The following is a 17,050-nucleotide window of genomic DNA, read 5'->3' on the forward strand; positions in this document are numbered from 1 at the left end:
CGCTGCTTTAAATGTGTCCCAGAGATTCTGGTACATTGTGTCTTTGTTCTCATTGGTTTCAAAGAGCATCTTTATTTCTGCCTTCATTTCGTTATTTACCTGGTAGTCATTCAGGAGCAGGTTGTTCTGTTTCCATGGAGTTGTGCGGTTTTGAGTGAGTTTCTTAATCCTGAGTTCTGATTTGATTGCACTGTGGTCTGAGAGACAGTTTGTTGTGATTTCTGTTCTTTTACATTTGCTGAGAAGTGCTTTACTTCCAACTATGTGGTCAATTTTGGAATAAGTGCGATGTGGTGCTGAGAAGAATGTATATTCTGTTGATTTGGGGTGGAGAGTTCTGTAGATGTCTATTAGGTCTGCTTGGTGCAGAGCTGAGTTCAAGTCCTGGATATCCTTGTTAACCTTCTGTCTTGTTGATCTAATATAGACAGTGGGGTGTTACAGTCTCCCATTATTATTGTGTGGGAGTCTAAGTCTCTTTGTAGGTCTCTCAGGACTTGCTTTATGAATCTAGGTGTTCCTGTTTTGGATGCATATATATTTATGATAGTTAGCTCTTCTTGTTGAATTGATCCCTTTACCATTATGTAATGGCCTTCTTTGTCTCTTTTGATCTTTGTTGGTTTAAAGTCTGTTTTATCAGAGACTAGGATTGTAACCCCTGCTTTTTTTTTGCTTTCCATTTGCTTGGAAGTCTTCCTCCATCCCTTTATTTTGAGCCTATGTGTGTCTCTGCACGTGAGATAGGTCTCCTGAATACAGCACACTGATGGGTCTTGACTCTTTATTCAATTTGCCAGTCTGTGTCTTTTAATTGGGGCATTTAGCCCATTTACATTTAAGGTTAATATTGTTATGTGTGAATTTGATCCTGTCATTATGATGTTAGCTGGTTATTTTGCCCATTAGTTGATGCAGTTTCTTCCTAGCATTGATGGTCTTTACAATTTGGCATGTTTTTGCAGTGGCTGGTACCGGTTGTTCCTTTCCATTTTAGTGCTTCCTTCAGGAGCTCTTGTAAGGCAGGCCTGGTGGTGACAAAATCTCTCAGCATTTGCTTGTCTGTAAAGGATTTTATTTCTCCTTCACTTATGAAGCTTAGTTTGGCTGGATATGAAATTCTGAGTTGAAAATTCTTTTCTTTAAGAATATTGAATATTGGCCCCCACTCTCTTCTGGCTTGCAGGGTTTCTGCTGAGAGATCCACTGTTAGTCTGATGGGCTTCCCTTTGTGGGTAACCCGACCTTTCTCTCTGGCTGCTCTTGGCATTTTTTCCTTCATTTCAACCTTGGTGCATCTGACAATTGTGTGTCTTGGGGTTGTTCTTCTCAAGGAGTATCTTTGTGGTGTTCTCTGTATTTCCTGAATTTGAATGTTGGCCTGCCTTACTAGGTTGGGGAAGTTCTCCTGGATAATATCCTGAAGAGTGTTTTCCAGCTTGGTTCCATTCTGCCTGTCACTTTCAGGTACACCAGTCAAACATTGACTTGGTCTTTTCACATAGACCCATATTTCTTGGAGGCTTTGTTTGTTTCTTTTTACTCTTTTTTCTCTAAACTTCTCTTCTTGCTTCATTTCATTAATTTGACCTTCAATCACTGATACCCTTTCTTCCACTTGATTGAATTGGCTACTGAAACTTGCGCATGCGTCACGTAGTTCTTGTGCAATGGTTTTCAGCTCCACCAGGTCATTTAAGATCTTCTCTACACTGTTTATTCTAGTTAGCCATTCGTCTAATCTTTTTTCAAAGTTTTTAGCTTCCTTGCATTAGGTTCGAACATCCTCCTTTAGCTCGGAGAATTTTGTTATTACCAACTTTCTGAAGCCTACTTCTGTCAACTCGTCAAAGTCATTCTCCATCCTGCTTTGTTCTGTTGCTGGTGAGGAGCTGTGATCCTTTGGAGGAGAAGGGGCGCTCGGGTTTTTAGAATTTTCAGCTTTTCTGCTCTGGTTTCTCCCCATCTTTGTGGTTTTTATCTACCTTTGGTCTTTGATGATGGTGACCTACAGATGGGGTTTTGGTGTGGATGTCCTTTTTGTTGATTGTGGGCGGCAAGCCACCCAGGTGCCGAGGCAAGAGACCGAGGACACGAGCTGTTCCAGTATAATAAAATATAAAACAAGAATAGTTATGCCAGATATGGATCTTAGATATGATTATATACGAATATCATTAATCATTAGTTTGTAGCAATTACTCTTTATTCCAATATTATAATAATCCTCGCTCTATAATCATAACCTGGAAAAACCAGGCCATACAGAGATAGGAGCTGAGGGGACACAGTGCAAAGTGACCAGAAGACAAGATTGCAAGCCTTCTGTTACGCGCAGACAGGGCCACCAGAAGGGCTCCTTGGTCTAGCGGTGACGCCAGCATCTGGGAAGACGCCTGTTGCCAGGCGGACCATGGTCTAGTGGTAGCGAAAAGTGTCAAGGGACAACACCCGCTACTTAGCAGACCAGGAAAGGGAGTCTCCCTTTCCCCGGGGGAGTTTAGAGAAGAGTCTGCTCCTCCACCTCTTGTGGAGGGCCTGACATTAGTCAGGCTTGCCCACAGTTATCCGGAGGCCTAACCGTCTCCCTGTGATGCTGTGCTTCAGTGGTCACGCTCCTAGTCTGCCTTCATGTTCCATCCTGTACACCTGGTTCTGCCTTCTAGATAGCAGTAGTAAATTAGTGAAAGTACTAAAAGTCTCTGATATGCAGAAATAATGGTGTAAGCTGTCTTTCTCTTTGTCTCCTCTCTCTCTCTGCCTCGGCTGCCAGGCAGGGAAGGGCCCCCTGTCCAGTGGACATGTGACCCACGTGACCTTACCCATCATTGGAGATGACTCACACTCTTTACCCTGCCCCTTTTGCTTTGTATCCAATAAATAACTGTGCAGCCAGACATTCAGGGCCACTACCGGTCTCTGCACATTGGTGGTAGTGGTCCCCTGGGCCCAGCTGCCTTTTCTTTTATCTCTTTGTCTTGTGTCTTTATTTCTACACTCTCTCCTCTCCGCACACGGGGAGAGACCCACCGACCCTGTGGGGCTGGACCCTACAGTTGATGTTGATGCTATTCCTTTCTGTTTGTTAGTTTTCCTTCTAATAGTCAGGTCCCTCAGCTGCAGGTCTGTTGGAGTTTGCTGGAGGTCCACTCCAGACCCTGTTTGCCTGGGTTTCACCAGCAGAGGCTGCAGAACAGCAAATATTGCTGCCTGATCCTTCCTCTGGAAGCTTCATCTCAGAGGGGCACCTGGCTGTATGAGGTGTCAGTCGGCCCCTACTAGGAGGTGTCTCCAAATTAGGCTACACGGGTGTCAGGGACCCACTTGAGGAGGTGGTCTGTCCATTCTCGGAGCTCAAACACTGTGCTGGGAGAACCACTGCTGTTTTCAGAGCTGTCTGACAGGGACATTTAAGTCTGCAGAAGTTTCTGCTGCCTTTTGTTCAGCTATGCCCTGCCCCCAGAGGTGGAGTCTACAGAGGCAGGTGGGCCTCGTTGAGCTGAGGTGGGCTCCACCCAGTTCAAGCTTCCTGGCCGCTTTGTTTACCTACTCAATCCTCAACAATGGTGGATGCCCCTCCCCCAGCCAGGCTTGCCGCCTCACAGTTCGATCTCAGACTAGCAGTGAGCAAGGCTCTGTGGGCATGGGACCTGCTGAGCCAGGTGCAGGATATAATCTCCTGGTGTGCCATTTGCCAAGACTTTTGGAAAAGCACAGTGTTTAGGTGGCAGTGTTCTGATTTTCCTGGTACAGTCTGTCATGGCTTCCCTTGGCTAGGAAAGGGAAATCCCCCGACCCCTTGCGCTTCCCGGGTGAGGCGATGCCCCGCCCTTCTTCGGCTCACCCTCCGTGGGCTGCACCCACTTTCCAACTAGTCCCAATGAGGTGAACCAGGTACCTCAGTTGGAAATGCAAAAATCACCCATCTTCTGCGTTGATCGTGCTGGGAGCTGCAGACCGGAGCTGTTCCTATTTGGCCATCTTGGAATGGACCTCTAATTTTTGTATTTTTAGTAGAGACAGGGTTTCACCATGTTTCCCAGGCTGGTCTCAAACTCATGACCTCAAATGATCTGCCGCCTCAGCCTCCCAATCCTATTCAACCATCTTGGAACAGACCTCTAATTTTTGTATTTTTAGTAGAGACAGGGTTTCACCATGTTGCCCAGGCTGGTCTCGAACTCTTGACCTCAAGTGATCCACTGCCTCAGCCTCTCAAAGTGCTGGTATTACTGGTGTAAGCTACTGCACCCAGCCACAGCAATGCTTTCTAAAATTCATTTTCCTCTCCTCATATCCCTGCAACCTATTCTAAAGTCACTCTTCAACCTTCAACTGTATGGCTTTCCTTATGCCTCCCTGGTTCTCTCTCCTTCTCAATTCCTCTTTATTGAATAGATCAACTTAAACTCTCTTGCTTCACCTTGGTCTGTTTATTTCTTCTCTTTTCCTATTCTCAAAAGCTCCATATTCAAGCTGGCAGACAGAGCTCTCCTTTGAGTGCAGGGAAGTAACTCTCATAAAATAAATCTTGTCCTCAAAACATATTCAAAATCACAGAACAATAAGTTGAATTTCATAATCATAGAATTGCAGAAGAATCATTTTGTATATTGCTGTGGAAAAATTGTAGACTTCTTTTTGAGCAGGAATCCCAAACTCAAATGCCCACAGGTATGTAATAGAAAAGAGGGCTGGAGACCAAGTGTAAAATAATGACAAATGATGAAGACTGGTGCAGGCATTACTCAGCTCCAACTAAAGATGCCATGTGGGAATGCAGGCTCAGAATTGACATATTTTCTGATGTTTTAAGAGAAATTAGAAACCCAGATTTTTGTGTAGAACTTCCCAATTTTAAAAGCACTGTGTGGGGGGCGAAAAAACCTAGGCAAGATTCGGCCCATAATCTTGGCCCAAAATTTGGTTTACAACCTCTGATATCAAGGAACCTGTGGTTGGCATTCCCAAGTCCATTTGATGATATCAAGTCAACTTTAGTGTTATTGCCTGCTTAGGAAGAAGACAAGGAAGAGGGTCTAGAGGAGATATACTATGAGGACATGGAGTCCTTCACAATCTCCAGTGGAAACACTTATTTTGTCTTTGTACCCCTGGAAGAAGAGCATTGTAGGAAGTCCCATTCCACCTTCTCAGCCATGTTCATCAACGACACTTCCAGTGCCAAGTTCATAGAACAAGTGACAATTCCATCGAGACTAATTTTAGAAATTAAGAAACAGTGAGTAAAAAACTATTTTATTCTCATCCTGTTGTTCTGAGTTTTGTAAACAAGGTGAAATATTAAAAAAAAAAAAAGGATTGGGCTGGTATCAGTTGGATAAAGAAAAAAATGTAGGTAACTGAAGGAAGGTAGGGGTGAGAAACACAATAAAAAATGGCAAAATCCAGGAATTATTTGCAGTCACAGATATCTTCTGTGAGAGTGACCCCCTGCACCCACCTCAGGAGGCTCTCTGCTGGCTTGGGCCTTGGAGATAAGATACAGTGTTTTCCCTGACAGATACTTTTGGGTTCTAGTTCCTGGTACATCTGTAATCATAGGCTTCTTTTCTTTTTCTATTTTAATTCTATAGATATACACCATAAATATAAATATCTCATGTATGGTATTTTGTACTCAGTATGTGCAAAATATAAGAATGGAACTGTTCACTCATAGAGTATATCCATGTCCATCGCTAGAAGACATGACCAAAAGATACTGCCAAAGAGTTTTTTTGCAGAAAATATAAGAACAATGAAGAATAGAGAAATGACCCATAATCCCACCACTGAGAATTTACTTCCCCTAACTCCCAAGTTTCTGGGCCTTTGTGTTTGAGTTTGGATCAAATGTGGACATTTGTGTTTGCCTTTTGGATGGCGTTCTCATTGTCCTCCTGCCTCTACAATGTCATAGGAGGGCTCATCAGCTAGAGATCTCCTGGTTCATTCACCTCCTGTATGTAACATGGGCAGGAGGCTGGAGACAAGGAATGAAAGGAGTGCAATCAGGCCTTTGGGCTCTTTCTCCTACACCTGAGCAGCATCTCACCTTGGAAATGTCTCTTGACTCAAACATCATCCCTCTCCTTCCTCTACCAGAGGCCATCATCTGCCCTCTCCATAGCAGATAGGACAAAGGCCAGCAAGGACTATCACAGGAGCTATTATTTACTGAGTGTATTTAATCCCCTTAATAACTGTGAGAGAGTTACCATACTTAACTCCATTTTACAGATGAAGAAACTGAGGCTCAGAGAGTTAGTCATTTGGCCTAGATATCCAGGACAGGAAGCAGTTTGATCCCAGATATGAATCCAGACAGACCCTGTAACTCCAGAATCTTGCACCAACCACTATGCTATCTGCCTTATGACTAACCAGAAAAAAAATTATCTGTCCAACTGATTGGGTTTGCATACTGAAGGATAACATGCATTCATAAAAGTATGAAAATCATAAGTGTATAGCTCAACGAATTGCCCAAATATGACACAGTTGATACCCAAAGCCCACAAGAAATAGAACCATTACCAGCCCTCAAGTGTACCCATCCCAAGTCACCACTCTCTCTTCCCCAAAGATAACAAATATTATAACTTCTGAGTTTATTTTGCTTATTTTTTCACTTTATCTAAATTAAGTCATACAGAACTCACTCTTTTATTATGTTTATGAGACATATATATTATTGAATGTGGCTAGGGTTCAGTTTTTATTTCTGTATAGTATCCCGTTATAAAAAAATGTTATCCATTTTATTAATCCATTTTACTGATACACATTTGGTCTTTCCAATTTGGGGATATACCAATAATGTTGCTCTGAACATTCTTGTACAAGTCTTCTGGTGAATATATGTATATGTTTCTGTTACATATAGAACTAAGAGTGGAACTGTTGACTCACAGAGTGTGTGTGTCCATATCCGTCTTTAGGAGATAGAGCCGAAAGATACTACAAGGAGTTTTCAAAAGTGGTTTTTAACAGTTTTACAGTTTATAACAGCATATGAGAACTTCAATCGCTCCACAACGTCAGTGGTATTGTCAGTGGTTTTTATTTTAGCTGTTCTGATATAGTTATAGTGGTGTTTCATTGTGGTTTTAATATGTATTCTCCTGATGAGTATGATATTGTATACCTTTAAAAATACTCATTGGGCCATTTGGTTATCTTTTTGGGAAATGCCTAGCAAAATCTTTTGCCTATTATTTTTCTGGTCGATTTTCTGTCTTTTTTTTATTAATTTATGGGAATTAATTATATATTCTGTAGCCGGGCATGGTGGTGTGTGCCTGTAATTCCAGCTACTCAAGAGGCTGAAGCAGGAGAATCGCCTGAACCCAGGAGGCGGAGGTTACAGTGAACCAAGAGAGTGCTGCTGCACTCCTGACTGGGAGACAGAGTGAAACTCCGTCTCAAAAAAAAATTAAATTATATATTCTATATAAGGCTTTGTCAGATAAATAAATGGCAAATGTTCATCCCCTCTCTGCACTTGCCTTTTTAAACTCTCTTTCAAGGTGTATCTTTTAATGAACAGAAGTTCTTATTTCTAATAAGGTCCAATTCATCAATTTTTAAATTAGGGTTAATTTACTTTGTGCCTTACCCCCAAGGACATGGAGATGTTCTCCGAAGTTATATATTTAAAATGCTATTGTTTTCAACTTCCATATTAACATCTAAAATCCACCTGGAACTGATTTTTTGTTTACGGTGTGAAATAGGGGTCAAGATTCACTTCTTTCCCATACAGATAACCAGTTGATCCTGGGTCACTTAATGAGGAGACTCTCCTCTCCCCCACTGCTCTGCTACGTGTCTTTTCTAGTTCTCTATGTGTCTATCCAATGACTTCACGCTGCTTTATTACTACAGCTTTACATTAAGCCTTAATATCTGATAGTGTAAGTCCTCCACCTTTAGTCTTCTCCTTCCATTATTCTTGGCTCTTTGTATTTCTACATAATTTTTAAAATTAGCTCAAGTTTCCATAAGACATCTGCTGCGATGTTGTTTCTTGTTATTGCATTGAATCTATAGATCAGTTTTTGGAAACTGACATCTTAACAGTACATGGCCAAAAAAGTACCATACATTTTTAAAAGGAAGAAATGATAAGCTGAGAAGCAACATTTGCAACTCACATCAAAGTCAATGACCTTCATGTCCCTAGTATATGAAGAGCTCCTAGAAATTGATTTGTAAAAAAAGAACAGCTATTCACAACAGAGAAATGGGCAAACGACATTCATGGACAGTACACAGAAAGAGAAATTAAATACTCTTGGGGTTTTTTGAGGCAAGGTTTCACTGTCGCCCAGGCTGGAGTTCAGTGGCATGACTCACTGCAGCCTTAACCTCCTGAGTAGATGGGACCATAGGCGCATGTCACCATGACCAGCTAATTTTTAAAATATTTTATAGAGATGGGGGTCTCACCATGTTGCCCAGGCTGGTCTCGAACTCCTAGGTTCAAGCAATCCTCCTGCTTCCATCTCCCAAAGTGCTGGGATCATAGGCATGAGCCACAGTGCCCAGCCTAAATAATCTTAAGCACATGAAAATATGCTCAGTCTCAATCATAATATAACAAAATTGTCAAATTTAGACGTCTGACAATACACTCTGAGACTGTGGAGAAATAGGAACATTGCTGATAAGAATACAAATTGCCTTCTAGTGGAAAACAGTTTGGCCATATCTGCCAAAACCACAAATGTATTTTAACCTTTGATTCAGCAATTCCAGTTCAAGGTCATTTATCCAAAGAAACAATTCTACATCTGACATACATAATGTCCTCCAGCAGTGGTATGGTTAAAAGAGTAATGGTCCATTTACACAATGAAATGCAATGTAGCTGGGAAATGAAATGAAGAATGAGTGAAAGGGGGAAGCACTTTGGGTCTCCATATGGAAAGACCTCTCATGGGTCATGATTGCTGGCAGGGCTGACCCTGGCTGGTCTCGCCCTCAGACTTCGAGCTGGCTTCTTCGAGCACCTTGAGAAGTGGTTTGACCAGTGTTCCCTCAACACCCGGGTCACCGTGGCCACCAAAATCAATGAGCTGGATTCAGAACTGGAGCTGCATCTGCACCTGCACCAGCCAAGAGCCCAGCAGATTGAAAAAGACATCCACAACGTCAGGGCAGGTACAGATGCTGCCTGGGAATGTCTGCCCTGCCCGCAGCCACTCCTTCAGCGTCTGCTCCACCGCGGCTCCATGTTCATTAGCTGCCCCAGTTTGTACCATGCAATGTTTAGCATGTTCTCATCACACCATGGAAGATGTACATGAGGGTTCGCACCTCTGAGGCTTGCAGAAAAAGGTAGTACTCCAAATCCTTCTGTGAGATTTTTTTCTCATTTCCATTTTTTTTTCAAGAGGGTGTTATAGTTGAAAACAAAGAGTGTTGTACTGTTTTAGCTCTTGGAACCCAGATCTGCTCATACACCTGTCAGATACACACCTGCATGGTGGATGTTCTAGAGGCAAGCTCATAGCTCAGGGAGTTGAAGCTCTCAGTTTCAACTCCTGTGACCGTGTGACCCTATACAGCTTACCTGACCTCTCTGACTCCTCTCTCACCTGCAGAAGGGGTTGATAGAAGTGTTAAGGAGGTGGTGATAAACCCTTTTAAAATGGTATAGTAAGGAATCATGAGCACCTTGTACAAGATACAGCCTCCAAAAGTGGTAGCCATTATTTCTACTTTATCATTTATCATACTTAAAAATACATGCATTTCACACCTATGTGGTGGACTCTGTTAATGCGGGGCGGGGGGGGGGCATGTTTTCAGTAGGATCCTTCAATGACCTCTGTTGGTTTTTCACCCAAATTATACTCCAACTCCTTCAAAGCCCTTTAGAGCTATCAGAGAGCCCCATCACTAACCCATGCAAACTCCTATTCCTGGAGCAGGGAAAGAGTTGTGCAAGTTGACAACTGGCCTTGAATCCCAGCGTTTGTGGGCTCAGGCAACTTGTGTGGCATTTGGAACCTCATTGTTCTCATCTGGAAAATGTGTGTGCTAAATGCACTGAGGAATAAAAAGGATTCTATGTGCACTGAGTAAAAGCTCCCTGAAGGCTGGCTCCATTTCCTTCCCACGGCCCCTGACCCAATACACAGTGTGGAAAACAAGGCCAGAGAAGCAAAGTCCCAGCATCTCACCATTCATTTTTGGCAGAGCTGAGACCACAGCACTTCCACAACTTCAGATGATAGTGGGATCAGATGGGAGGTGGTCGGGGTCGGGGGGGTCTAGGGACTCTCTGCTCATTTAAAGGCCCATGATGGAGCTCTGGAAGCCCAGTCCTTGTTCTTGCCACTCTACCTTGGAAGACAGTTGGAATTCAGGCTCACTGGACATAAGTATCCGCTGATGTTAAGGAGCAAACTCAGACTGCTCAGTGCTGTACTTGCTGTTACCCACCAGACCCTCTCACCTAGATCTCAGCCCTCCCCAACACCCCCTGCCCATCCTGCCTGCTACTCAGCTGCTTCCCAGACTCTCCATCTTCCTGGCTGTGTTCCCTCTGCTCCGGGCAGGGTGTCTCCACAAACAGGAGCTCCCTGCTCATGGCCAGGCCTCCTCTCCAGCCCAAGCCCTGATGAAGGCAACAGGGGCAGGACAAGGGGCCTTGACCTGAATTGTTCCTGTTCTGCAGCTGGCCTGGAAGAGGCAGCAGGCGGGCCTTGTTCCAGGAAAGCAATGTGCTGAGGTGAATCGGGTCCCCGGGGCCCCAGCTCTCTTAATCCTTTTTCAGCCGAGCTTTTGCTTCATCAAGAGCAGTTGGACAGCCACTGTGCTGGGGTGACCGAGACGCTGAAGAAGAAGCGGCTGATGTTCTGCCAGTTCCAAGAAGAGCAAAACGTGAGGAGCAAAAACTTCCGCCTTAAGATCTATGACATGGAGCACATCTTCTTGAATGCCACCAGGAGCCAAAAGTAAGGGGTCCTGGGAGTCTCCACCCCAGCCATGTGGCTCTGGAATCCCAGTTCGGCTGCTGCTTTCAAAGGAGCCCCCCTCCCTGTAGACACAAAAGCAGAAGGCACCTCCAGAGCCTTCTTTTGAGTTAAACTCTTCAAGAGAGTCAAGTCAAACTCTGTGTGGAATATTGCTTGGGAGGGCAGGGAGTGAGCAGCCAGAGAGCAAAGTATATGCACAGGCAGCATGCAAGGGTGCACACCATGTGCTATGAAATATCAGTGGTGGGGAAGACCACTTCCCCTCAGGAAAAATCAGGGAGGGCTTCCTGCAGGAGGCAGCATTGAAGATGAACTCAGAGGAGCCCTGAATGGAGAAAGATGGGAGAGGGTTGAATTCCACAATCAGTGAAAGAGCACTGGCCCAGCTCAGTGTAGGAGCGTGCTCAGGGCAGAGCAAGGGGCTCCAGAGAGGCCATTTGGGTTATGAGATGGAGGCCTCAGGCAGGTCACAGGGAGGAGACTGGCAAGTGTCTACGCAGCCATCAGGCACATGAGGGACAGCTGTTTCTGGTGGACTTGGTTGTAAAGAGGACACTCGCAGGGCACTCTTTTGGGGTATCATGGGTGCAGGAGCCACCTTGCTGGGGGTCAGACACAGCCCATTGGAGCAGGGACAAAGATCCAGTAGGATCTTCTGGGATTCTTTCACCAATTTGATGTGCTCTGATCCAGCACACCCAGAATGTGTCCTGCAGACACTGGAATTTTGAACTTCCTTCTACTGCCGCTTTTGCTACCCAGAGAAGCTGTGCAGCTGGGCACTGCTTGTGGAGCCCAAATAGACTCCCAGGTTGTCCTCCTTTCAGGCCCAGGTCACCACCCTCCCCTCTCATGCCCCCCAAACTGGTCACCCATCAGCGTTGTGCCCCCAGGAAGGTCACCTATCACCACCTGCCCCTCCCATGTCCCCAGGATCCTCACCATCACCACCTGTCCCTCCTGTGTCCCCAGGCTGGTCATTATCGTGACCGGCCCCTCCCTTGTCCCTCAGGCTGATCACCATCACCACCTGCCCCTCCCTTGTCCCCCAGGGTTGTCCCCCATCACTGTCCTGTTCCTCCTCTGTCTCCCACAGGCTGGTCACTCTCAGCAACACACTGCACCAGGAGTTGCTTAGCTATGTTGATGTCACCCAGGTGTCCCTGCGCAGCTTCCGGCAGTACTTGGAGGAGAGTCTGGGCAAACTCCGCTACTCAAATATTGAGTTCATCAAACACTGCAGGTGGGAGCCAGTGTCCAGGGCCTCTTCAGGCCACCTGAGTTTCTCTATTGGGATGTGGTCTTGTTTCCCCCTTAATTTTTAGTTTTGACAAAATAAACGTAACATCAAACTTAACATCTTAACCATTTTTAGGTGCACAGATCAGTGGCATTAAGGATATCCTGGTTGTTGTGCTACCATCACCACCACTGGTCACCAGAACTTTTTCATCTTCCCAAACTGAAACTCTGTACCATTAAACAAGAACTCCCCATTCCTCCTTCCCCATGGCCCCTGGCAACCACCATCCTCCTTTCAGTTTCCATGAATTTGAAACCTCTAGGTACTTCATATAAGTGGAATCATATATTTGTCCTTTTCTTGTCTGGCTCATTTCATTTAGCATAATATCTTCAAGGTTCATCCATGTATCATGTATCATGTGTCACAAAATCATTCCTTTTTAAGGCTGAATAATGTTCCATTGTGTGTATATATCACATTTTGTTTACCCATTCATCTTTGATGGGCATTTGGGTTGTTTCCATCTTTTGGCTATTGTGAATAATGGTGGTAGGAACATTGGTGTACAAATACCTGTTCAAGGTCCTGGTTTTAGTTATTTTGGGTATTTCCTAGAAGTGGAATTGCTGGATTAAATGGTAATTCTATGTTTAACTTTGAGAGGAACCATCATACTGTTTCCACAGCAGCTGCGCCATGTTCATTCTCACCAGCAATGCACAAGGGTTCCAGTTTCTCTACATTATCACCAACGCTTGTACTTTCTGGTGTTTTTTGTTTTTTATAATAGACCTGTTAATGGGCGTGAGGTGTTTCTATGTTGTGGTTTTGATTTGCATTTCCCTGACGATTAATGCTGTTAACCTTTCCATGTGTTTATTGGCCATTCTTTCCCCTTATTTTTACCCCTGCAATCTTAATCCTGGATGAAAGTAATCCTAGATTTAGTCTTTGACATTTTTGAAAGGCTATATTTATTTTTTAAGGCTTATGCTATTTTAAAAATCACAAATCTTTTGATCATTAGAGCATAATCAAACACAGATTGTATATAAAGTACAAAGTGGAAGCCCTCCAAAAATATATTTTCTATGTGCCTGTACTTATGTATACATGAGCAAAAAATTGTTAGTTTTGTACAGAAATGGAATCCTAGTATACATGCTGACCCACAGCCCCCCACTACCAGCATCACCAAATCATGGTGATGTAGGGAATAAAGGAACCTCCTTTCCACCCCTGAAGTTTCAACAATTTGAGCCAATAAAACAAGGCCAGGCACAGTGGTTCATGCCAGTAATCCCAGCATTTTGGGATTCTGAGGCGGGCGGATCACCTGAGGTCAGGAGTTCGAGAGTAGCCTTGCCAACATGGAGAAACCCCGTCTCTACTAAAAATACAAAAATTAGCTGGGCATGGTGGCAGATGCCTGTAATCCCAGGTACTTGGGAGGCTGAGGTAGGAGAATTGCTTGAACCTGGGAGGCGGAGGTTGCCGTGAGCTGAGATCACACCACTGCACTCCAGCCTGGGAGACAGAGTGAGATTCCATCTCAAAACAACAACAACAACAACAACAACAACAACAAACAATAAAGACGATAAACAGATTAACGGGAAACCAATTTATTAACATGCAAGTGTGTAGGTGTCACACAAAGTTTGAAACTCAAACAAAGACCAGGTGGTTGAAGCTTAAATAGCCTCTTCATACGAGAGTGAGAAATGGGAGATGTAGGAAATTTTAGAGGAAGGGTAAATGATGTTTAGGGGAGATTAATGGACCCAAAGAACAGACAATAGCCTGGGACCAATTCTGTCTGGGCTCTGGGTGTGGTGTCAACTCCAGTCTTCCTTCCTACAACTATGCATCAGTTTCTCCTGGTTGATGAGATATCTGGGGAAGGGATTCACAACAGTTGAATATCTTCTGGAGGATCCAGCCTTTAGGTAGACAGGTGAACTTTAGAGAAAGCTCTTCCCTGCATTTGCTGCTCCCCAGGTACTCTCAGTTTGAAGTTCAAAGCAGCACATTTTTGGTTTCATTTTCTGAGCCCCAAGAGTGGGCACCTTCCATGTCAGTATCTGCAAAGCTTGCATTTGTTTTAAATATTATTAAGATTTTTCTGATTATAAAAATAGAATTTTAAAAGAAAATTTGGAAAGTAGCGAAAACTAGAACTATAATTTGACATGTTAATCATCTCTACCTTGCTTATCTCTGCATGTCTTGTATATTTTAGCTTCATTCTAGCTAATTTCTTTATATTATTCTTCCTAGTCACTGATTCACTCTGTAACTGTGTTGAACCTTCTGCAAATCTATTCATTGAGTTTTCAATTTTAATTATTATAGTTTCCATTTGTAGATATATACATATACGTATGTATATATATATATATACACACACACATATACATATATATATATACACATATATACGTATATATATATTTGAGACAGAGTCTTGCTCTCTCACCCAGGCTGGAATGCAGTGGCACAGTCTCCACTTACTGCAACCTCCACCTCCTGGGTTCGAGCGATTGTCCTGCCTCAGCATCCCGAGTAGCTGGGACTAGAGGCATGTGCCACGATGCCCAGCTAATTTTTGTATTTTTAGTAGAGACACGGTTTCACCATAGTGGCCAGGCTGGTCTTGAACTCCTGACCTCAAGTGATCCACCCGCCTCGGCCTCCCAAAGTGCTGGGATTACAGGTGTGAGCCACTACTCTCTGCCCATTTATAATTATATTTGATACTTTTTCAAAACTGCCTGCTCCTTGTTCATATTTTGAAGCTTACTTTTTATTCCTTTAAACATCTTAAGCCTAGTTATTTTATAGTCTATATCTGATATTTCTAATATCTAATGGTTTTTGGGAGGTCTGTTTCTGTTCTCTATTGTTTTACTGTTTCTCATGCATGGTATCTTGTATCTTGATTCCTTATCAATTTTTAAAACTACGAGTCACTCATTTTCCTTGGGACTTTATGGGTGGCATTCTTTGAGGCCTGGACTGGACATTGCATTCCTTCAGAGAGAATCCTTATTTGTTTCTGCTGGGTAACCAGGGAGCACTACCTACCCAGGACCAATTAGAATTCTCTGCTTGAGGTTTTTTGGGTCACTCCAGAGAACATGAATTCATTTTGTAAATGTATGTGAAGTCTAGTTTGTGTGATGAATTTTCAGGGGACAGAGATCTTCTTTCCTCTTTGCCCTTGGATCTAGACAGGCAAGAGTCCTGGTATCTGGTGGGGTTCGTTTCTTCCTCAGTCTTACAATGCAAATGTTGTCCTCTGGATCCAGCTCTAGGCTATCCCTTCACCTGTGCAGTCATCAAGACTGAACCTCCAAGTCTCTGGTGCAAAGTCTTGGCTTCTGGTGCTGCCCACATTCCAAGCTCCCCTTCTAGTTTCACTTCATCTGGAATTCTTTTTTTTTTTTTTTTTTTTGAGGTAGAATCTTACTCTGTCAGCCAGGCTGGAGTGCAGTGGCGCAATCTCGGCTCACTGCAACCTCTCCCTCCTAGGCTTAAGAAATCCTTCCATCTCAGCCTCCCAAGTAGTTGGAATCACAGGCACATGCCACCACACCTGGCTAATTTTTTTTACTTTTTTAGAGACAGGGTCCTGCTGCCCAGGCTAATCTTGAACTCCTGGCCTCAAGTGATTTTCCTGCCTCAGCCTCCCAAACTTATGAGCCACTGCGCCTGGCAAGTTCATGTGGAATTCTTACCTTTATACAGTTCCAAGAAAGCTATTTTTATTTCGAATTTTGTTTCAGTTGGGTCTGTTAGAGTCTCCAACCTGATGAACTGACAAAAATGGAAATTCTGCACTATTTATGAATCCTACTCCTGTCCTTAAGCTATCTGTGTTCATTTTCCCACATCTTGAACTCTAACCGGAAGCCTAGATTAAAAGTGTGTGTCAGCCACAGTATTTGGGATAGATGAGAACTCTTAGGTCTGATCTGTGGCTTTTATTTGTCTTTGATTATTTTCAGATTGTTTTCAGAGGGAGGCAACTTTTCTCCTAAAGAAATCAATTCACTGTGTTCCCGACTGGAGAAGGAAGCTGCCCGGATAGAGTTGGTTGAAAGTGTCATCATGCTCAACATGGAGAAGTTGGAGAATGAGTACCTGGACCAGGTAGGGCCCCCAGCCAGGCCCCAGGCCAACCGGTTCCACAGTATCCCTTGCTCAACTCCCTCTGAAGGGAGGGCCAAGCCCTCCATCCAACCATTCACTGGGCCTGTCCCCCTCCTCCTTCAGAGTCCAAAAGGTCCAAATTAAGCCCCTGTCCTTTACCCTTTATCTCTCTGTACAGGCCAATGATGTCATCAACAAGTTTGAAAGCAAATTCCATAACCTGTCTGTGGACCTTATTTTCATAGAGAAAATCCAGCGGTTGCTGACGAATCTGCAAGTGAAAATCAAGTGCCAGGTAGGATAGATTCATTCTTCATCAAGGATCTTTATCACACACACCTGCACACCAGGCACTGTCCCCGGTGCTAGGAGGCCATTGTGGTCTCTGTCCCGTGTGTGGGACTTGCTCTCCAGCCAGGAAGACAGACACAATCTTTTTTTTCTTTTTTTCTTTTTTTTGAGACAGGGTCTTGCTTTGTCACTCAGGCTGGAGTGCAGTGGCGTGAACACAGCTCACTGTAGCCTCAACTTCCTGGGCTCAAGAGATCCTCCAGCCTCAGTCCCACAAGTAGCTGGGACTATAGGCACACGCCACCATGCCCAGCCAATTTTTTCTATTTTTTGTAGAGATGGGGTCTCCCTATGTTGCCCAGGCTGA

At 44.0% G+C, this 17,050-nt stretch overlaps 1 protein-coding gene and 1 long non-coding RNA gene across 5 annotated transcripts in view; both read left to right on the forward strand.

Annotated features, from left to right (window-relative positions):
* The window catches only part of SUGT1P4-STRA6LP-CCDC180 (SUGT1P4-STRA6LP-CCDC180 readthrough), a 138,870-nt gene that overhangs the window by 99,896 nt on the left and 21,924 nt on the right, over positions 1-17,050 (forward strand). For 2 of the 3 annotated variants that reach the window (NR_036527.1, NR_036529.1), the window contains 3 exons: positions 5,019-5,242; positions 16,248-16,392; positions 16,571-16,687. This is a non-coding gene — a long non-coding RNA (SUGT1P4-STRA6LP-CCDC180 readthrough). Of the gene's footprint in view, positions 1-5,018; positions 5,243-8,992; positions 9,169-10,789; positions 10,971-12,087; positions 12,235-16,247; positions 16,393-16,570; positions 16,688-17,050 lie in introns of all 3 variants that reach the window. The other variant, NR_036528.1, reaches the window with a different exon arrangement.
* The window catches only part of CCDC180 (coiled-coil domain containing 180), a 71,415-nt gene that overhangs the window by 30,985 nt on the left and 23,380 nt on the right, over positions 1-17,050 (forward strand). Inside the window, exons 19-24 of one of the 2 annotated variants that reach the window (NM_020893.6) lie at positions 5,019-5,242; positions 8,993-9,168; positions 10,790-10,970; positions 12,088-12,234; positions 16,248-16,392; positions 16,571-16,687. In NM_020893.6, the coding sequence (NP_065944.3) occupies positions 5,019-5,242; positions 8,993-9,168; positions 10,790-10,970; positions 12,088-12,234; positions 16,248-16,392; positions 16,571-16,687 (990 nt within the window). Of the gene's footprint in view, positions 1-5,018; positions 5,243-7,284; positions 7,501-8,992; positions 9,169-10,789; positions 10,971-12,087; positions 12,235-16,247; positions 16,393-16,570; positions 16,688-17,050 lie in introns of those variants that run through there. The other variant, NM_001348010.4, reaches the window with a different exon arrangement.

Source organism: Homo sapiens, chromosome 9, assembly GCF_000001405.40.
Source record: "Homo sapiens chromosome 9, GRCh38.p14 Primary Assembly".
NCBI lineage: Eukaryota > Metazoa > Chordata > Mammalia > Primates > Hominidae > Homo > Homo sapiens.